The sequence below is a fragment of the Homo sapiens genome, chromosome 3 (assembly GCF_000001405.40).
Source record: "Homo sapiens chromosome 3, GRCh38.p14 Primary Assembly".
Lineage (NCBI taxonomy): Eukaryota > Metazoa > Chordata > Mammalia > Primates > Hominidae > Homo > Homo sapiens.
In genome coordinates this window covers 143,538,448-143,563,641 of record NC_000003.12, presented here as the reverse complement: position 1 = coordinate 143,563,641, position 25,194 = coordinate 143,538,448, and the positions used below count along the sequence as shown (strand labels likewise).

Genomic DNA, 25,194 nt, shown 5'->3' with positions numbered 1-25,194 from the left:
ATTATGATGATCTTACGTTTTCTTCCCCCTTCCTTGGATTGTCTTATATACCCCTATTTGAAAACCACTAAACAGACTACCTTCCTCAATTTAGTGAGGAGAAAGCAATGGACGAGGCAATGCATTTAAATTGCATCAGTCATCAAACTAGCAAAGTGTCTGAACTGTGACCAGATAGATCCTATGTCTTCTGACTCCCAGTATTGCACGTTTTTTCTTACATAATTTACAACCACATATTGAAGTTTGATCATATCAACAAGTAAATAGACATAGTATATTTAGTAGCACTAATGCTTTCTGAGGGGGTCCAGAAGTGGAAGTCATGGAGAACAGTATAAATGGTACTGTGTTAAACAAAAAGACTTAATTGTTCTCTGAAAATTGATCTCTCTGGAAATAATTTACTTGCCAGCAGAATCTTTATTTTTCCCCAAGAAGCATAGATCTCCTCATGCTGTTTCCTAAATTTCTTTGCTTGCCAATTAACTTGAATTTAACCGTGTGCCTCTTTGTGGTTTTTCAAAACAGTTCTTTTAGATACTATCAAAAAGTGTTGGTTCTAGTTCTTATCCAAAATTGTGTAAATGAGTCCCTGCAGTCAATCCTTTGGGCTCTTACCCACCACTGAAATCTCACTGTACAAACACTGAAAGGCAGTGTTGTGCACAAACATGAGTCAGATGCTCTTATCATTATTTTTTGTAGGCCACCTCCTGATTTCTTTCAGAGTCCTTTATTTATTTTAGGTCCTAGATATTTTTGAGCATGACCCACTCCGCATGGACCCAGATGTATGTAGTTGAGTCCATTCATCATTGCTGCAGGGCCTCATATGTCCAATTTAAATCTAAGATCTTGGACATGTAAAGTAAGAGTTGCATTTAAGGATTGCTTGTTTTTCCAGCAGAGATGGAAACAGAATGATCAGATTTTATTTTTATTGGGAAAGAAAATGAAGAAATACTTTGCCAGCAGAGGGTAGACATACTAGATATTTTATATTTCTAATTTTATGTATACTAGGCCTAACAAAACATGCAAGATAAATACCTTAGTGCTTATAATAGTTTGACAATTAAGCATAGAGTTTATTAGTTGTTTCTCCTATTAAGTTTTGTATTCAAAAAATTTTTAAATTAATTCATGTGTATTTATTCCCTATCTATAATGGATTAAAGTCCAAGTGTGCTGGTAAAGTGCATGTTTCTCAGATATGCCCCGCAATCACCTGCCTCTCTCCCTTTGCTCTTACTGAAGTCCCTACCCATGAACCTGCACTCCCAAATTTTTCTCATCTCTCAAGACCCAAATGCCTCTGCCACTTTCAGGAAAACATTCCTCATCCCTGTCCCAGCTTTTCTAGCCTTAAAGAAATTACTCCCTTTGAGAATTCCTTTGTTATCACCCACTATTCTACCAGTTTTAGATGTCTTTGTATATATCTTATCTCTGTTAGGAGACATAAAGCTGCTTGAGGCCTAGGCCTGCTTTATTCAGTCTTGTGTTCCTCATACCCATGGTCAGTGCTTTGCTCAGTATAGGATCTCAATAGATAACTAGCAATTGAGTGAGTAAATACCAGATACCAAACTCACTCATGTAAGTCTGGTAGCTTAATTGTGACATTACTGAGAATTGTCTAAGTTTAGATTACTAGGAATAGCAAGCACATATCTACCTGCTTTCCTTGATGCAGGAGTTAAAGGTGAAGGGAAGACAACAAAGGTGAAAAAGGGCATAGAATGTGCAAAGCTTGTACTATCTCCCAGTCACTTGTTAAATAGGAAATGTTGCTGTATTTATCCCTGAAATGAGTTTCTCCAAGTTATTCCTTCTTGTCTTCTTCCTTTCATCTCCTAATATTTATGGCAAAACCTTATGTTTACTTAAGAGTATTGAGTTTGTAAAGCATTTTAATATCCATCATATTGCATTATATTAAAAACAGACCGTGAGACAGGTAGCCACTAGCCAGATGAGAAAATTAAGTCTCAGTAGGGTGAAGCTATTGGCCAGCATCACCCGTGTTATGCCTGTAGCCATGGCGAGAGAATGGCAGCCTGGGAAGCATCGAGGCCCAAGATACCACAGGGGCTGAGAGGCGTGGACCCTACTCTTACCGTGCAGCTCTTTATTTTAGTGGCCAAGTCCTCTTTTTCATATATTCTTTTTGGCTACTTTTTCATTTTTCTTGGTTAAGTTTTTTCTGCTTACATTGGGTCTATTTTTATGCCCCTTGTCCAGTTTCTTGAGGTAAATAATCTACTTATTTTCAATCTTTTTGTCCTGATAAAATGCACAGAAGACTATCAATTTTCCACTAAATAATTATTTGGTTTTTATCCCATTGGTTTTGATAGGGTATGTGGTATAAACTTATTGTTATCCTATTTCTAAATAATCTAAAATTTCACATTTGATTTCACCTTCAACTCAATTTATTTACTTATTTATTTTGAGATGGAGTTTCACTCTTATTGCCCAGGCTGGAGTACAATGGCACAACCTCAGCTCACTGCAACTTGCACCTCCCGGGTTCAAACAATTCTCCTGCCTCAACCTCCCAAGTAGCTGGGATTACAGGCGCACACCACCACGCCCGGCTAATTTTTGTATTTTTAGTAGAGACGGGGTTTTGCCATTTTGACCAGGCTGGTCTCGAACTCCTGACCTCAGGTGATCAGCCTGCCTCAGCCTCCCAAAGTGCTGGGATTACAGGCGTGAGCCACCGCGTTTGGCCTCAACTCAAATTTTAATTAGAAAAATGCATTTGAAAGTCTCCAGTGGATACATTTATTTAGCCTATGCTTTTTTGTTAATTTTCAGTCTTATAACATTGTGGTAAAAAATATGACAGCCTTATAACATTGTGATCAAAAGATGTGATGTATTTGTTTCCTTTTTTTTTTGAAGGAAAAAGTTTTATTCAACTTTTTGGTGGTAAAGTATATCATCAATTTTATTTTATGTAATTTTTTCACATTCCAATATTGTTGGGATGAAAAGGAAATAATTTTAAAGTAAAGTAAAAAAAATTTAAAACCTCTCAGATTTTCTTGATAATAATTACTCTCTGAAACTAAAATGACTTCACAGAACCATGTCAATTCTGGAAAGCTAGGAAAAGAAAACCAAAGAATAAAACACAAAAATATAATTTTAAAACATTTTTTGAAATTAGCAAAAGATATTTATAAGCCAAAAAAAAGGGTAACAAAAATTGTGCTACTCCTTTGAAGATGTCTTATAATTGTTCCAAAATGCTAAGAGGTCAAGAATAAGGGAAAAATATCTTTTGGGGACATACAAGGTCAGAGCCAACTCTTAGCAAGGGTGAGTTGATACCTAGACCCAGACCGTTAGGGAGAGACTTGCTCCTCAAAGTGTGGTCCAAGGGCCGGCATCATGGACATCCCCTAATAGTATAAAAATGCAGAATTGGGGGCTCTACCCCAAACCTACTGAAGGAGAATCTGCATTTAAATCCCCAGGTGATTTGGTGCTCAGATGTACATTAATACCCAGAGTCCTGAAATCATTGCCTTGTGGATTCTTGGGCCACAGTTGCACTTCCAGATGTGGTCAAGTGGCTTCTGATATATGGAGAGGACAGTGATATAAGCTGTAAATTAAGCAAAGCCTGGGAGTGACAAGAACAGGCAAGGCAAAGTGGTAAGAAACAGCAGTAAGAGAGAAGGAGAGAGGGAGTGGGTTCCTTTGTGGGGTGAACTGCTCTGTCGCTTGGGCAGAGTCATCCGAACTCACTATTTTCAATGCCCTTTGATCTGAAGGTTTGTGTTCTAGAGATTTAAAAATATCCTTTTTTACATGGAGAAGACTTTTGGAGTTTCTCTTTAAACCTCATAGCTTATTTGAAAAAACTAAGTTCTTATGAGTAGAAGATATGGTAACAATATATTTTTAAATTTTACTTTAGAAGGCTTGTTTGAAATTGAAACAATTTTGAAAGCCTATAAGCTTATCTTGTCTTCACTTATTGAGAAAATTGGCCTCTATTCAAAATGCTTAAAGGTTTCATTTAGAACCAGTGTTATTTCTTTGACCTTAAAAAAAAAAACAAAGACTGAATTGAAGGGTTCATCCCAGTGGATTAATGAAGTAATACATAGGAAAATGACAGGCCTTCAGAATTGGAGGAAATCCAGACTTTAAGAAAATAATCCTTTCTACAACAATGCTGGCAGATAATCTTTCAGCTTAAACATATGATAGGAACGTCTTACACGTCGCAGTAGCTACTCTACCATAGGATAGTGCTTGTGTTTTGGAAGGATTATGGGATTGGGAATTGGAAGACATAAATCCAAGTCTGGGCTATGCCTCATTAATAGTTCTAGGTCTAACATATTTCTCTCTCCAAACCACTTGTTCCAATATAAAGGCTGTGTATTATCCATTCTCACACTGCTATGAAGAAATACCCAAGACTGGGTAATTTATAAAGAGAAGAGATTTAATTGACTCACAGTTCCACATGGCTGGGGAGGCCTCAGGAAACTTACAATCATAGCGGAAGGCACCTCTTCTCAGGGCGGCAGGAGAGAGAAAGAGTGCAAGAAGGGGAAATACCTGAATCTTATAAAATCATCAGATCTAGTGAGAACTCACTATCATGAGAACAGCATGGGGGAAACTGTCCCTATGATCCAATTACTTCCCACCAGGACCCTCCCATGACACATGGGGATTATGGGAACTATAAGTCAAGATTAGATTTGGGTGGGGACACAGCCAAACTATAACATTCTGCCCCTGCCCCCTCCCAGATCTCATGTTCTCACATTTCAAAACACAATCATGCCCTTCCAACAGTCCCCCAAAGTCTTAACCTATTCCAGTATTAACCCAAAAGTCCAAGTCCAAATTTTCATCTGAGACAAGGCAAGTCCCTTCTGCCTATGAGCCTGTAAAATCAAAAGCAAGTTAGTTACTTCCTAGATACAATGAGGGTACAGGCATTGCATTCCAAATAGGAGAAATTGGCCAAAACAAAGGAGGTACAGGCCCCATGCAACTCCAAAATCCATTATGTCAGTCATTAAACCTTAAAGTTCCAAAATGATCTCCTTTGACTCCACATTTCACATCCATGTCATGCTGATGTAAGACTTGGGCTCCCACAGCCTTGGACAGCTCTGACTCTGTGGCTTTGTAGGGTACAACCCTGTCTCAGCTGCTTTCATGGGCTGGTATTGGGTGTCTGTTGCTTTTCCAGGTGCACGGTGCAAGCTGTCAGTGGATCTACAATTCTGGGGTCTAGAGGACAGTGGTCCTCTTCCTACAGCTCCACTAGGCAGTGCCCTAGTGGAGACTGTGTGGGTTCCAATTCAACATTTTCCTTCCATACTACCCTAGCAGAGGTTCTCCATGAGGGCTCCACTGCTGTAGCAAACTTCTGCCTGTACATCCAGGCATTTCCATACATCCTCTGAAATCTAGGTGGAGGTTCCCAAATCTCAATTATTAACTTCTATGTACCCACAGGCTCCACACCATGTAAAAGCTGGAGCTAAAGCAGTTGGGACACAGGGCACCATGTCCTGAGGCTGCACAGAGCAGGGGGGCCCTGGGCCAGGCCCATTAAACCATTTTTTTCTCCTAGGCCTCCAGGCCTGTGATGGGAGGGGCTGCTGTGAAGGTCTCTGACATGCCTTGGAGACATTTTCCCCATTGTTTTGGTGATTAACATTTGGCTTCTCATTACTTATGTAAATTTTTGCAATGGTCTTGAATTTCTCTCCAGAAAATGGTTTTATTTTTTTCTATTGCATTGTCAGGCTGCAAATTTTCCAATGTTTTCTGTTTTGAGTTTTCTTGAATGCTTTGCTGCTTAGAAATTTCTTCCACCAGATACCCTAAATTATCTCTCTCAAGTTCAAATTTCCACAGATCTCTAGGGCAGGGGCAAAAATGCCACCAGTCTCTTTGCTAAAGCATAGCAAGAGTCACCTTTGCTCCAGTTCCCAACAAGTTCCTCATCTGAGACCACTCAGCCTGGACTTCATTGTCCATATCACTATCAGCATTTTAGTCAAAGTCATTCAACAAGTCTCTAGGAAGTTCCAAACTTTCCCATATCTTCCTGTCTTCTGAGTCCCTGAAGTCTCTAGGAAGTTCTGAACTTTCCCACATTTTCCTGTCTTCTTCTGAGCCCTCCAAACTGTTCCAACCTCTGCCTGTTACCCAGTTCCAAAGTTGCATCGACATTTCTGGATATCCTTATAAAAACACCCCACCCCACTCGGTGCCAATTTACTGTATTAGTCCATTCTCACATTGCTATGAAGAAATACCTGAGACTGGGTAATTTATAAAGAAGAGGTTTAATTGACTCACAGTTCTGCAAGGCTGAGGAGGCTTCAGGAAACTTACAATTCTGGCAGAAGGCACATCTTCACAGGGTGGCAAGAGAGAGAATGAGTGCAAGCAGGGGAAACGCCAGACACATGTAAAACCCTCCGATCTAGTGAGAACTCACTCACTATCATGAGAACAGCATGGGGGAAACTACCCCCATGCTCCAATCACTTCCCACTGGGTTCCTCCCCTGACACATGGGGATTATGAGAACCACAATTCAAGATGAGATGTGATGGGGGACACAGCCAAACCATATAACCACATCACTTTTTAAAAATACCAATTCCAACCATAGGTACAACTGAAAAGAGGATGAGTTCCAGTTCTCTTGGACTTGGCACATGGTCTTGCCTGCCCCTAGTGTTCCTCATTGTCTCAGTTATGACAGCAAAGATACAAGTTGGATTTTATTTTCAAATGGAAAACTGTGGTTTCCAAGAACTATCAAAGTTTAGAAAGAGAAGATAACCACAAGAGAATATCAACGAGGATTGACTCAGAAAAAAAGAAAACGATCTGGCTATTGACAGAGTTTAATTCAGGAAATTGGGTAGAGAGTTGGTGGAGATCTCAAAAGGTATAAAGTGTGCATAAAGGTAACAGAGAGGTAATACTTACAGGAAGCAAGTGTGAACCCTAGGAGTAGGAAAAGTAAAGGGAAATGAATCTAGAAGCTCCTAAGAGGCAACCACTGGGCTAGGATCCAGAATTCTAAGGACACTGCCTGGCTGCCCTTTCTGAGGTGTATCATTGCTGAGATGAAGCTAGCAGGAAGAGCAGGCAAATAGGAAGAAGCAAGCCCTTCTCTCCTCCACTGGGTTCTAGTCACCTTCTGGCACTTCATACTGGCAGGATCCAACAGCACTGGCAAAGGAAAGCATGGTTTATAGGGCCCCTGTGCCAGGATCACAGAGCCAGTAAAGATACGTGGGTTTGGAGCTGAGACACTGGTTTGATGACTGGCACAAAAAGCACTTCTAGGCCCCTTGAGGGTCCCCCTCACCCTCTTTCTTACACACAAGAATCTGAGGTTCATAGAGTTTAAGAGAACTATCTAGGACCTCACATAACAGCTTCACAATTAGGACTCAGGCATGGGTATATAAAAACATAGTGATAATTAAAATGTTCTTTCATAAGGTAGAAAACAGTCAACTTTGAATTTGTTTCTGTGTTGGAGAATTTTATAGATAATAGATGTATTTAGATGAGACATTTTCAAAATGTGTTTGGCTTGTAAAAGTCATACTAATTACAGTAATTTGTGTGATTTAATTTATTACTAAGCTATGGAATTATGATTGTGTATGCTAATACTAAGGGTCAGATCAATTTTGTTGTTTTATTTTAATTACAACACCAAGCCTCTGGTCATGTGGGCTCATTCTCCACTGTTTGTTGTTTATATGACATATCCATCCACACAAGACTCAAAAGATATTTAGCAACAACATAGCCTGTTAGTTTTCTACTGGAGGCAAGGAAATGATAACCAATGCAGCCACTAGGGAAAATATTCTCCAATGATAAGCCCAGCTAGTTCAGAGAGATATGTAATCTTTTTCGTAAAATCTCTGGCTAGTTCCTGGGATATCAGAAATATTTTTTAGATGGCTTAAGATCACCTTAAAACATTCACAGATGGTCTAATATAGGCAGAAAAGCACAGGGATGCTATGGACTATTTGATCTCAGCTCTGTCACTTTAGAGGTGACCTTGAGTAAATTACTTTAGTGTCTTACTTGTTCAATAGAAATGGGAATGTTCACTTATTTATTCAACAAATACGGAGTGCCTACCATGTGCCTGGTACTGCTCTAATCATTAGGAATCAAGGAATCCCTCTGTCTTCAATGAGCTTTGCCTTGTGTTACAGTGTATTCGTCTATTTTCATGCTGCTGATAAAGATATGTTCAAGACTGGATAATTTATAAAGAAAAAGAGGTTTAATGGACTCAAAGTTCCACGTAGCTGGGGAGGCCTCACAATCATGGTGGAAGGTGAAAGGCACATCTTACATGGCAGCAGACAAGAGAGATATGACAGCCAAGTGAAAGGGGAAACCCCTTATAAAATCATCAGATCTCATGAGACTTATTCACTACCAAGAGAACAGTATGAGGGAAGCTTCCCCCATGATTCAATTATCTCCTACCAGGTCCCTCCCACAACATGTGGGAATTATGAGAACTACAACAAGATGAGATTTGGGTGGGGACACAGCCAAACCATATCATGCAGGAAGGCAGAAAATAAACACATAAATATATAAAATATCAAGTAGCAAGATATAGTACAGGAAAAAAATAAAGCAAGTAGAGAATGATGAGACTGAACAATTTGTACAGAGTGGATGGAGAAGACCTGTCTGCTCATGTAACATCTAAACAGATATCTGAAGGAGGGAAGGAGCCATGTGGATATCTGCAGAGCATTCCAAACAGTGGGACCTGGAAGGAAGTGCAAGGGCCCCTGGCAGAACATACTTAGAGAGGATATTGAAAGGTAAGGCGGTGGGGAGTGGTCAGAGAAGAGGTCAGCAAGTTGTGGGGAGTGGGGAAGGGGCAGGAAGAGATCTTGCAGGACCTTTTAAGCCACAGGAATCCATTACAAAGTTTTGAGCAAAGGCCAGACATGGTCTGACTAGTTTTTAAAGAAGCGTTATTGCTAGGGGCTACCATGGGAGGCAGGGAGGCCAGTTAGGAAGCTATCGTTGTAATCCAGGCCAAAGGTTATGGGGGCTTGGAAAGGGATGCTAGGGATGGAGATGTTGAGAAGTGTTTGGGTTCAAGGTGCATTTTGAAGGACAAGTAAACAAAATTGCTGATTTGCAGTGAGAGGTGCACTTAGGGTGGTCCCAAAGTTTCCCCCTGGGCAGCAAAAAGAATGGATGCTATTACTAAAAAGGAGAAGGCAGTGGGAGAGGCTGCTTAATCATTGTGAGCCTGTTGTGAGATAGTAACTCACTGCAGTAAATAAGAAGATGTAAATTAAACAAGCACTGTTCTTGGCCCACAGTAGGTATTCAGACAATCTTAGTCCCTTCCTTATCCTTTGTAACACTTCTTTGTTACCTATTCTTGTTCTTACAATGAATTTATTTGCTATCCATACACAGACACACCTGCCCTTTTATTCACTACTTCTCTACAGATCAATATCTAGTCAAAACAGTGAACAGGTCAGCAAAACCTCACCCAGAAAACCCCCAATAGACTACACACTAGACAGACATAGGCCACATTTTTAAATAAATAAAGAGAAATGATTTATGCCAAAACAGTATACAGGGTAATCCTCCTTGTGCTTTGAAGTACTTAGTGCTTCAGCACACTAAAAGTTTCCCTGGTATTTGTTGCTTTTTAAAATAGAAATTCTGTGAATAGTAAAATAGTTTATAAGAATTTTTGCCTTAGAATTTCTGAAGAGATGCTAAGAAACTGAGAAGTTACCAAAAATCTGTTGAATTGCCTACTGAATAGATATTTCATGGTAAAATTTCCTACTTGTTTTATTCTTTTGTCTAAAATTTTGAAGCATAATGTTAAAAGACAATAAGTCATGTAGATTTTACACATTTATGCAAATATGTGTTAGCAATGTTTTATCCAATGCTGACCTGAAAAATAACCAACATGTAAATAGAAGCATATAGTCTACATATTTTTTTAAAGCTCAGTTCTTTAAAATTCTTTGTTGCAGATTCACTTGAAATGTCAGTATTCAGTTCACATATCTCTATACTCTTAAGAATCATCAGCATTTAATTTATGAGTGTTTTTAGTTGGAAAGATTTTGCTGCTTAAAATTCAATTCAATCCCCTTGGTCTGAGTCGAGGAATACTTATATCTTGCATTTTTCCCAAAGCCCTCCTCTATGCCCAATTTCCCACAATTGAGCTAATCTTTAACCCAAAGTACAGTGCAAGCTCCCACTGCTTCCCCACTCCAGCCCAGGGACAATAACACAGAGAATAACAGAGCCCAGGGACAGATAGCATGTCGGTCTCATGGTCGCTCTTCCTCTGTCTCCAGAAAGCATCTAGTGTATGTGTGACTTCATGTCACATTTAAAGCTGATATGTGGTTTAAAACTAAACCCTGCAGATGTCAAGAAGCAACTGAAGGTCCACTGTTGGTAGGAATCACACAAGAACAGACCAGTTTACTTTCAAGGAGTGAATGCCTTGGGTGTGTTTGGCAGCAGGACAGAGCACCCAGCCTTTCCAAAGAGGCACAGGAGAAAACAAGGTCTCCTTTCTCTTGCTTGGCAAGTAGGAGCGTTGGCAGGGGCAGCAAAACCCTTGTGGATGTCTTAGGTTTGTCACTCATGACTTTTAATACTAAATTATGGTATGACAGGAACTTCTTTAGGCTACCCAAAGTATACAGCGGAAAGCAAATATCTTTCAGAAAATATGCCAGTATTTAGTATAAAATCCAGCAAAGTAGTTGGCACTGGCTATGAAAAACCCAGGGTTGGCTATGGAGTCTTTTGTTCATGTTTTCAAATATAACTTTTCTAGCTCATGAACAGGGACCCGTTTATCTCCAGGAAGAATCTACTTCTCATGTTTATTTAGAATCTACTTCTTAATGTTTTTCTTTAGGTTTAATCCTTCAGGACCCTGTTTAAACCCTGTTTAAAGCAAGTGCAAGATTTACCTAGGTTGCATTATCATGGTAACTACTAGCAGTTTTAACTCTACTGACACCAAGTCTATTTTCCAACTGGAATAGCCCTAACCTTTGACTTGGATGGAAAAGAAAAATTGGTTTTGACTGATCTGTTTTTTTAATTTCAGGGATAGTTGCTGTTCTCTTCTGTGGAGTCACACAAGCACATTATACCTACAACAATCTGTCTTCGGATTCCAAAATAAGAACTAAACAGGTAAAAGAAAAAATTTACTACAGACTTGGTCTCTTTTCTCAGTGAAATGGTTATGTAGCAATTCTGGCAGTATAGTCAGAAAGAGTTTCATTAGTAAAGGAAGAATGTAAGCTTAAGGCTTCATTACGAGTTGGATATTTATAGATTTTTTTCCCTCCAGGATAACCATTAACAATTCTCTTGGTAAGCAAAAATATAGTTATAATAGTCTCTCCCTCCTGAGAGATGTTGAACTTAGACTGTCAGTCTTAAAGATGAAAGGCATACAGTTGGTAATAATTCACAGTCACTTACATCTAAAAGCATTATAAGGCATGTGAGATTGTGTAGTTATAGAGAAAGAAGGAAATGAAGAAAAAGAAGGAAGTGAGGTTTGGTCTTTAATTGGGTGCTTTTGATGCCAAGCAAACTCAACTGCCAGTTGTCACACAAGCAGAATATATCTCCCTTATGCCAAGAACACATCTGTTTGGATATTTCCACATAAACACACAGATTCTTTCCACAGACATTTGCTGCACAGCCACTCTGCGCCAAGCACCATGCTAGCTACTAGGAATACAAGAACAGATAGTTTATGGCCCTGCCTTCAAGAGGTTCGTTATCAAGACTGTTTCTGAGGACACAGATGTGTCGCAAACAACTTGCCACAATTTTATAAGTATTGTCATAGAAATACGTCTATAGTGTGCATAAGGAGCTTTAGTAGGACATCACCCTACAGTTAGGATTGAGAAAGTCAGGAGAAAGTTTCCAGAGATGATGCCCAACCTGGAGCTTGAAATATAAATAGAAGTTAACTAGGTAAAGATCTGGGGTCTACTAGAGGGTAGAAGGTAGCCACAAGGGCATTTGAGGCCAAGGGATCAGCATGAACAATATCTCTTGAGCAGCCAGTGGAAGCTCTGTAAATAGTTCAGCATGGCTTGTGAATGGGGCAAGGCTAAAGCAAGTGGGATACAGTGACAGCAGAGACCAACTCATGAAATGACTTACGTATCTTGTGAAGGACTTTAGACTATAACCTATAGGTAATGGGGAGTGGCTTACATAACGGGAATGTATTGTCTTGGAGTTCTGGAGGCCAGAGTCTGAGATCAAGGTATTGGCAGGATAGCTCCTTTTGAGGGCTGTGGAGGAGAATCTGTTCTATCTCTCTCTCTCTTAGCCTCTGGAAGATTTCTGGAATCTTTAGTGTTCTTTGGCTTCTAGACACATCCACCCCAATCTCTGCCTTAGTGTTCATGTAGCATTCTCCCTGCATGCATGTCTACCACCAAATTTCCTCTTTTTGTAAGGACACGGGTCATATTGAGTTAGGGGCTACCATACTCTGGTATGACCTCATCTTAGCTGATTACATTTACAATGACTCCGTTTCCAAGTAAAGTCACATTTTGAGCTACTGGGGTTTAGGACTTCAACATATGAATTTTGGAGGAGCACAGTTCAGCCCATAACAAGAAGTCATTGAAGGGTCCTAGGCAAAATAATTTTAAGATCATTGTAGTTCCATTTTAGGAATATGACTCTGGGAGACATGAGGAACATAGACCAAACAGCACTTGTATCAGTTAGCTTTTGCTGTGTAACAACCACACAACCCTAGTGTCATCCAACAATAATCATTTATTGATCACATACCTGCAAGCTTCAGCCATTTTTATCGGGGTTGGACTGGGTGCATCAGCTTGTACCAGCTGAGCTTATGTATACGTCTGTTGATTTTTGGGGGGCTCTATTCTAAAGTAGGCTTGACTGGTGGGCTTTGCTAGGGCCACATGTTTGTCATTCTTCTCCTGATAGAAAAGAAAGCCCCAGTGTTGAAGAAGTTACATTTCCATACTGTGCTTGTATCATATCTCCTAAATATCTCATTGGTCAAGGAAAATTATATGGCATAGTCCAGAGTCCAGAGGCCAAGCTGATCCCTGACCACAGTGGGAGATCACTGCAAAGTTATATGGCAAAGAATGTGGACATAGGCAATGATGGAGAATTGGACTGAATGATGCAATCTAGCCCAAAATGCAAGTGGAGGCAGAGAGGTCTCTTATAATAAACATGGTGATGCTGAGGACATCTGATGTGATATTAGGGCAGTGGGAGTAGAGAAAGCAAAAGCAACCAAAGCAAAACCTGTAATTGACCAGAAATTCCTAAACAGGATTTCCTGAAAGCTTACTTTGAAGCCCTCCAGAATGAGCTATCACTTTCATCCCTCTTTGTCACATCCCAAGCTTGACTCTACCTCTACCTGCCCAGGGACTCTGCGAGGTCACCCTTCCCCTCTGCCTATCACTGCAAATGCCTCAGAAGAATCACAAGATGCAGTTACAGAAATCTTGAGGCCCCCTGAGTGAAACAAAAGAAAAAAGCCCCCCAAACAAAAACTGATACCAATATCCAGAAACCTCCAACATATAGTCTTTCAGAATCCTTTTAATTTTGAATACTACTAGCTTTCCCTAGGGCTTAAAGGGAAATGTCTTGGGCTGTTTTTTTCCTAACCTCTTTTTGGTTCTCTGAGCATATTTGTATTCTGGGAAGCTGAACCCTGTTTAGGGACTTGCACTTTTAAGTCATTCTATCTAGACTGCTCAGCAGAACTTCAAAGATAACGCATCTCATGGCATGACAGCAGCCCAGCATCTAGGGGAAACAAAGCCAAAATCAGTGCCCATAGCCTTCTGTTCTCCCTCTGAATGGCTTGAAAAGCCCTCCCTGACAGGTTGCCAGCATTCATTTTTACAGAATTCTCTTTTAAGGAAGGAGAATGTTACAAGTTCTTTCCTTAACATCTAGGTAACTGCATATCCCCATCTTTGTTCCCCACACTGCCTTTTTTTGGGGGTGCCTGGATCATAGCAGAAGCTTAATAAATGCTAATTCCCTTCCACTTCATTTTCATCCCTTTCTTCATTTCTTTTCTATCAGGATCTGTCATTTTCTGCTTATTTTTTTCTTATAATATGTACATACACAGCCTATGTACATATTTATACATACTTGCATATCTATGCATGCCTATACACATGCACATCCCATACTGTAGTAAACAGAGTCTAAGGTCCCCACTTTGAAAGAGTGCAGTCAGAGGCTCTTAGCCACACTACAGGCTCTGCACTAGTGTAACAAGCAGAGTTCAAATTCTCATGGGAAACGAATTACAAGTTGTAGAGAAATGCTGAGGCATGTACTAAAGAGGTTGCCACTGTGTCCCTTCTGAAACTGGGAAAGGTTTGGGAAGTATTATATGATGTTACATGGTTACAGTATCTTGCTCTACATATCCCCATGTTGTGTTCACACTGTCAACGGGAAGGTAGCAGTTACACAGCTGCTTTGCCTCTGTTGCCAGGACTGTTTAATGAGAGTGTAGGAAGCCAATTAGTAAACTCAGGGAAATCCATGTAAATCACCTTTGAGTTATAAAATTCAAAGATGACATGATTTACAAAATAGTTCTATTCAACTGTGTCTATACCAGTTAATCAAATAGCTATATCTGGATACAAAGGCTTTAGAGAATTATGCATTCTTTATAGCTTGAAGAATTAGAGTGCCTTTTTAAAGTTGTATTTTTTCATTTTAAGATATGTTTTGTCCATGATAATGACCCTTTAGATGTAGGAACTTCATTTTTGCTTCAACCTATGAAAACACATGTAACATCGCTATGTGTTAGGCAAAAAGCAGTATGACAGAGGCACTATGATGCTGTTACGCAACATAAGGATTTGTATTTTGAATACCAAAGCATCCTATTAAAGAGTATATGAACATATGCAGCAATTCATTTCCCTGGACTTGGAGTTCTTTGTTGCTTTAGGGTGTGCACATCAAGTCCTAGAGACAGACAGATACTGTAAGCCCTGTCTCTTTCCCTGGGAGCTGAGCAGTGCTAGGGATACTCAAGATGGACATCAGCACACAGCAGTGTAGCCCGGAGGTCTCACCCAGGGCCATCCAGAAGACTATGTACAGACCCCATGAACCCACTCAGATGATTTCCAGCCTTCCTCCTACCCCTTTCCTCCCACATTCCCTCACCACCCCCACCACCCCCAGACAGGCCTGGGAGCTTGCTATCTGCGCCAAACTCCAGGGTGTTCCCATCGGCTGTATTTACCTTGCCTGAGACTAACTTGCAAAACCATGTACTTCCATAGCATCCCTTTTAGTTAGAATTTCTCCTTCCCTTCACATGGTTGGCACCAAAAATTATTTCCAACAGATACACATGGGTAGATGAAATGAATGTAAATAATTACCATTTACTGTGCGTTAACATGTACAAAGTACTTATCTCATTTACTTTCTACTTACCTTTCTACCTAAGAGGTAACTCTCATTATCGCTGATTCCATTCATGCATTGAACAAATTTTTTTTGAGAGCCTACTTTGTGCCAGCCATTGCTCAAGGTACCGGGGATACAACAGTGAACAAAAAAAGAATTTCTAGTTGAGGAACTTCATAGTAGTCAAAATAAATAAGCAAAGTATATAGTGCACTCATGGTAAGACATAAGGCCAATAATAAAGCAGGGAAGAGTAGCTAGGAGTATATGATGGGAAGGCAGGCTTGTAATATTAGATTGGGTGTCCAGAAAAGGCCTCAGCAAGGTGATATTTGAAAAAAAGTAAAAGAGGGAGCCATGTGGACATTTGGGACAGAACTGTAGAGAAACTGGGAATGACAGGTACAGAGGCCCCCTGGGGCAGGAGAACCAATGTGGCTGGTATGGAGTGAACAAGGGAGAGTATGAGAGAAATAGCAGAGCAGTGAGAAGAGACAGGTCATGGAGAGCCCAAATGAGGTGGGGAAACACTTGAGACCTTTAAGTACAGGCATGTACGTACGTTTTAGAAGAATAGAAGTATCCGGTATTAGCTAGGGAAGACTGGAAGAGTAACAGGTTTGGGGGACAAATTATGAGCCCAGGGTTGACTTGTTAAGTTTGGGATGTGTATTAGTCAAAGTGGAGCTGTTGTGTAGCCAGTTGGACATAGAATTCTGGAGCTCAGAAGAGAGGTCTAGGAGAAAAATACAATTTTGAGAGTCATCAGCATATGACTAACATATAGAGATGATAATTGCATATCATATACAGATGATACTGAGAACATGGTACTGGATGAAATCTCTAAGACAGTGATAGAGAAGAGGTCCAAAGACCAATCTAAGGTACTCCAATGTTAAGAAATCCAAAATCAGCAAATGAGCCTGAAAGGTAATAAACATTAGGGAAAAGAAAAGCAAAGTATGGCGTCCTAGAAGTCAAAAGAAGAGTGTCTCAAGGAGCATAATGAATTATACCAAATGCTGCTGAAATTTCAAGTAAGATGAAGAAAATGAACATCACTGATGACAGTGATAAGAACAATGTTGGCAGAAAACCTGAATAGAATGGGTTCAAGGTAGAATAAGAGGAAAGAAATTGGAAACCTCCTGTATCAACAAGTCCTTCAACGGAGTTTTGCTGAAGGGCAGCAGAGAAATGAGGTGATCGCTGGAGGAAGAAGTAGGACCAAAGAAAATATCTTTTTATTTTTAAGGTAGGAGAAATAACAGTGCTTGTTTATGTTAAGGAGATGAAACAGTAAAGAAAAAAATGATGTATTAGAGTTTTTTCTAGGCTTATAAGTAGCAGATTTCAAACTCAGATGTTTTACTTTGTGGTTCAAACTATGTTGCCTCTTACTAAATATCATTTGGTTAGTAGATGGGATAGCACCAATTGTGGGGTATCATTTATTCAGTAAACCTTGAATGGGTGGAAGGAAAAACAAATGGATGTTTGGCCGTATTTATTATACTTTCAGCCAATTCAGATAATTAGTCATTTACTTTATATAGTATTTGATTCTGCTCTTTTTGAAAATCTACCTATTTCAGTACATTTTAATTTTTTATACAAATACAAGTTGGGATGGACATAGATGTTTTCATGTATTTGCTTTTGAAAAGCCAGATTCTTTGTCTAGCATTTATGGGCAAACAATGACATCTTCATTATAGCACATTCTTTCCAGATGCTTATTTTATTTCCATTCCCCCCAGATGATATTTATAGTGTTTATCGCCATTGAATGGAAAAGCAGCAATGCAAATCCAAATTTAAATTTCCAATAAAAGAAGACAGTGGGAGCCAAATTATATGTTCTGTGCATGACTCTGAAAATTCAAATAAAGGATCTGGAATATGGGAGCAGCAAGATATAGTGGAAAGGACACTTGGCTGAAAGTCTAGAAAACTGGGTCTTGCCCCCATCCTCTAGTACTCATGGTAGGGCCTCAGATAATTAATTTAACACACATGAGCTTTACTTTTTCCATCTGTAAAATGAATGATTGAACTAAATGACTGGGTTTTAAGGATCATGCTCTAGATCTAATATTCTTTTACTTGACATGGAGCATAACGTATGTGTCTGGTTCTTTCTCTTAGACTACAGTTGAGTAGGGATCACTTGATTAAAGACTGCAATGCATACAGATGAGAGGAGGAATTAGAGTTTGCCATTTAACTTGAGGCCAAATCACTGGGTACACCATTTCAAGAAGTTGTCAAAGCAAATCCAAGGATGAGGCAATCAAAAACCAAAGTCCCTGGTTCATACTGGAGTGAAAAGTTTCATACTGAGGGCTGAATGCTTCTTCCTGGAAAAACTCTCAGCTCCTAAGTGAGTGGTTGTGATGGCTTTTCCTAAGACTGCCTGCATCCTTAGGGTAGAGAGTAGAAACCTTATATTGCTACAACTCAGCATCTCAGGATATGACTGAAGACCTTACAGCTTTTGAATTCAAATATGGACTAATTGTGTTCTAAGAACTACAGTAGTTGCATGGTTGGCACCATGCTGGAAGCCAGGGAGACAAGGGCAAATACCACGTGGTTCTTGTCCTTTGGAGGTCCTAATATAGCAGAAGACATACACATGCACACAAACATACATATGCATATGCATGCATGCACTCACATGCACAAACAACCACATGTGGCAGATATTAACATGGAGGGATGCACAACATGTCATGGAAACCAGAGAACTGAATTGCTTACTGGAGGCAAGGTTTTCATGAGAAGCTGGTTTTTGGGTTGGGTGTTTTGGAGTTTGGGTGTAGAGTTAATTAGGATATTGTCACGCAGATTTCATGGAGGATAAAATCAAAAAGAATAGAGTATGCAAAAATATAAAACTAAGAAAGAGCTTGGAAGCAATCCTAAACAAAAAGAACAAAGCTGGAGGCATGAAGTTACCCAAATTGAAACCATACTATAAGGCTACAGTAACCGAAACAGTATTGTACCAGTACAAAAATGGACACATAGGGCAATAAAACAGAATAGAGAACCCGGAAATAAAGCTGCACACCTACTACACCCATCTGGTCTTTGACACAGGCAACAAAAAAAAGCAATGGGGAAGAATCCCTGTTCAATAAATGGTGCTGGGAGAGCTGACTTGCCACATGCGGAAGAATGAAACTGGACCCCTACCTTTCACCATACACAAAAACTAACTTAAGATGGATTAAAGACTTAAATGTAGGACCTTAAACTATAAAATCCCTAAAAGAAAACCTAGAAAATATTATTCTGGACATCAGTTTTGGGAAAGGATTTGTGACTAAGTCCTCAAAAGCAATTACAACAAAAACAAAAACTGACAAGTGGGACCTAATTAAGCCGAAGAGCTTCTGCACAGCAAAAGAAACTATCAACAAAGTAAACAGACAACCTACATAATGGGAGAAAATATTCACACACTATGCATTAGACAAAGATCTAATACTAGAATCTATAAGAAACTTAAACAACTAAATGAGCAAAAAAACAACCCCATAAAAATTGGGCAAAGGGCACTTTGGAAGGCCGAGGCGGGCGGATCACGAGGTCAGGAGATCGAGACCATCCTGGCTAACACAGTGAAACCCCGTCTCTACTAAAAATACAAAAAAATTAGCCGAGCGTGGTGGCAGGCGCCTATAGTCCCAGCTACTTGGGAGGCTGAGACAGGAGAATGGCATGAACCCAGGAGGCGGAGCTTGCAGTGAACCGAGATCGCACCACTGCACTCCAGCCTGGGCGACAGAGCGAGCCTCCGTCTCAAAAACAAAAAGAAAAGAAAAAGAAAAAGAAAATTGGACAAAGGACCAAAGGACATGAACAGACACTTCTCAAAAGAAAACATACAAGTGGCCAAGAAACATATGAGAAAATGCTCAACATCACTAATTATCAGAGAAGTGCAAATCAAAACCATAATTAGATATTATCTTACACCAGTCAGAATGGCTCTTTTAAAAAAGCAGATGCTAGTGAGGCTGTAGAGAAAAAGAGAACTCATACACTGCTGATGGGAATGTAAATTAGTTCAGCCACCATGGAAAGCAGTTTAGAGATTTTTCAAAGAACTTAAAACAGGGCTACCATTTGACCCAGCAATTTCATTACTTGGTATATATCCAAAGGAAAATTAGTCTATGAAAAATCATGCATTCATATGTTCTGCAGCACTATTCATAATAAGAAAGACATGGAATCAATCTAGGTGTCCATCAACAGTGGACTGGATAAAGAAAATGTGGTACATATACACCACAGAATACTACACATCCATACAGAAGAATGAAATCATGTGCTTTGCAGCAACATGGATGCAGCTGGAGGCCATTATCCTAAGCAAATTAACACAGGAACAGAAAACCAAATACCACATGTTCTCATCTGTAAATGGGAGATAAACGTTGGGCACTCATGGACATAAAGATGGCAACAGTAGACACTAAGAGCTACTAGAAGGCAGGGAGGGAAAGTGTAAGGGTTGACAATACAACTACTGTGTACTATGCTCACTACCTAGGTGACAGGATCAGCCGTACCCCTAACTTCAGCATCATGCAATATGCCATGTAACAAAAGTACACGTGTAGTCCTTCAATCTAAAATAAAAATAGAAGAAAAAAAAAAAAAGCTTGACAAGTCCCAGAAACAGAGGTAACACACTGTGACTAGGTCCCAGGTTGCCTCAGAGAAATAGTTAGGGGTGGGCCGCTGGTATAGGTTAGGGGGCACTGAAGGGAAGCGTGTGGAAGACAGCTGAGAATGAAAAAGGAAAGGTAAGTCCAGATGAACATTTTACTGTCCCAGTATGCTCCCCTTGGAAGAATTCTATCCTATAAGGGTAATAATTGGTTAAGCCTTTTAGGCATAGAGATAATGATAATAATCAGATTTCTGTCTTACAAAGATAACCATGATAGCATCATTGAGGAAAAACTGGACAATTCATAGTATTTTTGTCTCTATTAGTGGTTTTAAGGGTTAGTTATGAGAAAACATGGTAAGTGACTTCCAGGACATCAGTCTTAACACTCACCACACTTCTTTTTAGTAAACTCTGTACATATGTAACATCTAAATTTATCTTAACCTTCTGTGACTCCAGACATATTTTTGTCCTGTTTAACCTCTTAGGATATTGTGGTCTATATGAAAAGTTTATGGAAATTTACTGTCTGATTTTGCCTTGAACTTAGGAGCTAGATAAATTCTTTCTGAATTAATAAATTAATGAGTGAATGAATTATGACCATTAACATTCCAAGATAAAAAATAGAGAAGAGAATATATGCTAATTAATGGTTTTATTTAGTTCTGATATGATGCATTAATTTAAATTTAATGAGTTGGATGCGTAAGGCAAATGTCTAGGGTAATCTTGATATATTGAAAGAAAGATGAAGTACAATTCCATTACTTGCGTGTTTCCTGCAGTGTGTCCATGCCTTATTGATTTGCATTACAGTGGGTTTTTGATTTGGTTTTGTGCATTTTTTTCTATTTCTTTTAACAAAAGCAGTCACTTTCCATCCCAGTTACCTGTTCCAAGGCACAGTGGAGAGAGAATGTCATGGGCAACAATGCCTCTGCCTCCCTGGCTTCCGAGAAGATCAAAGATATCTTCATAAAGCATAGAATTGCCTTTTTTTATTACTCTAATTACATTTCTTTTGTAAAGAGTTCTACCACTTTTCTTCTCTCCGTCATTCAAAATATCTTTAAAAATACCATCCTAGAAGGGTTGAATTTATAAATGATGGCAAAGTGTTTAAATTTCTCCTTAGCTAAGCTGGTGATTCTTTTCAATGAAACTCATTATATTGTATAAAGGACATTTAGTAGTTCAGCTAATATGTGTTTCCTTTTAAATGCTAATGATAGTGGAGCTCCCACATCATGGCAAGAACACCTTGTACTTTCAGTGCCCAGAAAGAATTATTTCCCTACTTGAGAAGCCTTTACTCCACGACCAACATATATTATAGTAGGAGCCACAGATAAATATTTGGCACCTTCAATAGTGGGTACCTTCTATGTCCTGGGTACTGGGACCCAGGGAGAAATAAAGATAAGTAAGACATCCATGTTTCTCCTTGAAAATATTTTATGTAAATTTTTTATCTGACAAAGCTGTAGTTGGACTATAACTTCTCAGTTAAATCTGTCCTACTCTCTCACCCACAAATCTGTTTATCATAGCATATAATTGCAGTTGGAAATTTTAAGTCATGAAATCAAAGAAGTTCAGAGCTAAGGGAAACTATAAACTTTTGAACCCAGAATTTTATTGGAGGAAACTGAAACCCAGGGAAATTCAATGACTTCAAGGGCTTGGACCAGTTTTCCAACCCAGGGTCAACCTGGACATGGGTCATTGCTCAAGGGATATGCACTGTCAATTAAAAATACACAGCACCTGCCTCTAAAAACATTTGGTATATTTGTTATATATTGCTGTGTAACAAATTACTCCCAAATTTAGCAGCTTTAAACAACAAACTTGTATTATTATTTCGTATAGTTTGTGAAGTCCTGGAATCCAGGAGTATCAGCTTTGCTGGGTGGCTTTGGCTCAGGGTCTCGTGAGGTTGCTGACAAATTGTTGATCAGGGCTTCCGTGTCTCAAGGTTTGGCTGGGGCTAGAGAATTCTCTCCAAGAGCCTCATTTACGTGGCTGTTGGCAGAAGACCTCAGTTCTTCCACCTGTGTCCTCCATCGGGCTGCTTGGGTGTCCTCGTGATGTGAAAGCTTACTTTGCCCAGAGCAAGTGAAACCAGAGAGAGCAAAAAGACAGAAGCAATGGTTCTGATTAACTAGTCTCTAAAGTTGTTTACTGTCATTTCTGCCATATTCTATTTGTTAGAATCGATTCCGTAAAATTGGACCATGAGCAATGGGAGGGGATTAATTCATTTACATTTTGAAGTGGTGGTGGGGGAAGGGGTGTCAAATAATTTGTGGACATTTTAAAGTACCAGGAGACCCAATGCCATTTTTGGAAGAAATTGTTTGATAGTGCTTTTAATTTCGTATATGGTTGAATATTTAGGTTTTCTGCTTCTTCATTCAATTTTAGCCATATCCATTTTCTTAGTAAACCATCTATCCTACCCAGGTTTTAAAAAATTTAGTATCAACAATTGTTGAACACTATAATGTGTCAGGCACTGAACATATATGTTTCATATAAGTTATTCTTATTAATGTTCACATAAAATCTACAAGGTGAAGACTATTATTAATCAGATTTTATAGTCTTAGAGAAGTTAAGGCCACACAAAGAATAGAGTAGTGCATCACAACTCGTTGTTTTTAATGTCCTTTGTATGTATTTGAGTATAGACCTTTTCTTACAGAAAATTGCATGCATGTATTTTCCCCTTTTATTAAATTTATGAAACTTTACACGTGATCCTGATCATTTTCAATTTATTTATGCATTCTATTGTTTTATCCTTTTATCACTAATCCATTCTTCTTCCTCTCCTTGGGCTTTCTGTTTTTCTTCCCTGTCCCCTTAACAGAGGATGATGAAGGGAACTCCGTTCCTGCAGATCACCACTCTCCTCCATTTTTTTATTTCCCTGCTTTACTACAACCCTGAGAGGGCCTTAATAGGTAGAGCCAAGAATAGTCTTTTCTTTTTTCACCAAAATATTGGTGCTGTCTCATCATCTATCCTGTTCACCTATTTATCTTATGACAGATATTATTCTGTTTTGCCTCTGCTGGCTTGCTTTCTTCAGGATTCATCAGCATTCTACATAACTAAGAGTACTTGAACAATGTTATTGTTGTTTTATTCTGCTTCTTTATCACCATCATAAAAGGCTCTGTATCAGAGTCACCTCCCAAGACTATCTCTACCCAATAGGCAATGTCTTGGTGGCACATACTAATTTACCTTTAAATGTCTTACTAACAAGTCTCCAAAATCTTCCCTTAATTTTTCTTTCTCATCCCCACCAAGCCCTAAGAAAGTATACTTACCTCATTTAGCCTTTTCTAAATATTAATTTTCTTTATTATATTTTCCCCCAAATCATGGTTTTGTATTCTTTCTCACTATGTAGAGCCCCAACTCCTTAAAAAGATAGTGCTCACTTGCACACTCTCTCTCTCTCTCTCTCTCTTAATTTTTCACTTTTAGAAAACAAAAACTACCATCATCAAAGCTTGGATATCAACATATAAATTTCATGTCCTTCTATGTATGGATCTGATTCAATGCATAATGGAAAATTTTATATGAATGGAATTTAGGAGATCAGCTGGCCTGGTACCTGCTTTGATAACACTCAAGACAGATGGTCGCCCACTATTACCTTAAAATTTCTAAGGATGGCAATGGCATAACCCCCTTTAATAGCCCATTACAGTTTTATCATCCTGTTTGATAGGTGTAAGTATGAAGGGCTTCAGTCTCATAATGGCATTTTAGAATGATAAATGGAAATTACTGTAATTTTTCTACTTATTTCAATTAAATTTTATTGATGCAATGCAGAAAACATCAAGGCTGAATATGTGTGCCTGAGCATGTGTTTGTTAAAGAATGTTGCCAAATTTAAGGATGCCATTTCCTTAATAATCTTGAAAGATGCAGCAAATGTATTTAATAAAACGTTAAGTCTTTGTGCAATTCCTTCAGAAAAGAAATTGAATTGCTTCTGGAGGCACAGCTCAAAAATCCAAAGAATCCTATCAGTGGAGATATGATATATAACTCCTAATAAAGTACCCGAGAGGGAAATCTAACAAGTGAGAACAAGAGTTTGGTTTTAGGAGAGTCACTTAATACAATTGCTCTGGGTTACATTGAAAAAGGACTTGATTGGAATCAGCTGTGACCAATCTCTTCTTAAGGGAGAATAAACTGTTATGATAGACCTGCCTCAACAGTGAATACCTAGGTAACAAACTATTACTGTTGTATTTTTCCACTGGTTCTAACTGTTAAAAAAAAAATCTCTGCTTTAAAACAGGTTTCTTTTCCTTGTTTGTGCTGTGCCTTGCTTTGTTCAAATTAAATTTTCAAGAACAAACAGGAAGGGAAAAGATCCCTGTTGAAAAATAAAGGAATGCTTCTGTTAGGAAAGAATGTCTAACCTTGCCTTAGTCACTGTAAGTATATGAATTCACACAGTTCTTTTCCCCTAGAGATCTGTGAAAACATGATCATTGAGACTCACATCTGGAGAAAGTGTGATTTGGGGTTTCCAGGACAATTGCTTCATACCCTAGCCCTTGACTTGCTTTCTCTTTCTGAAGATGTTGCTCTGATTATAGTATGGGGGCCTATAACGTAGGGCCGGGATAGAAGATCTCTTGGCCAACTAGAAACAGACAGGCACACAGAGATCAGAGCTAGCACTTGGAATGAGTCCTGGCAGAGTTTCAGTATTCTGAATTCTGACACACCAGGTTTCTGGATGGTTAATGTGAAGTTCTGTGACTAGTGCCGAGGTCTTCCCTAGGGCCACAAAAGAAATTATGTTTTAACTTTTTATGTCCTTATTCAGGTGTTCTTAAATGGTGGTCTGCAGGCTGGTGTCATAGTGA

General features: G+C 39.1%; 1 protein-coding gene across 4 annotated transcripts in view, besides 1 other annotated feature; it reads left to right on the top strand.

The window, feature by feature from the left end:
• SLC9A9 (solute carrier family 9 member A9) overlaps window positions 1-25,194 on the top strand; it is a 583,247-nt gene that overhangs the window by 284,827 nt on the left and 273,226 nt on the right. For all 4 annotated transcript variants that reach the window (XM_017006203.2, NM_173653.4, XM_011512703.4 and 1 more), the window contains one exon: window positions 11,192-11,280. In XM_017006203.2, coding sequence (XP_016861692.1) covers window positions 11,192-11,280 — 89 coding nt within the window. The remainder of the gene's footprint in view (window positions 1-11,191; window positions 11,281-25,194) is intronic.
• Window positions 20,235-20,413: a silencer, noted in NCBI's record as "fragment chr3:143262071-143262249 (GRCh37/hg19 assembly coordinates)". NCBI's record gives its function as "represses an EF-1alpha promoter that drives an FKBP-Casp9 reporter gene in an ReSE screen in K562 erythroleukemia cells {active_cell/tissue: K562}" and the evidence as "EXISTENCE:reporter gene assay evidence [ECO:0000049][PMID:32094911]".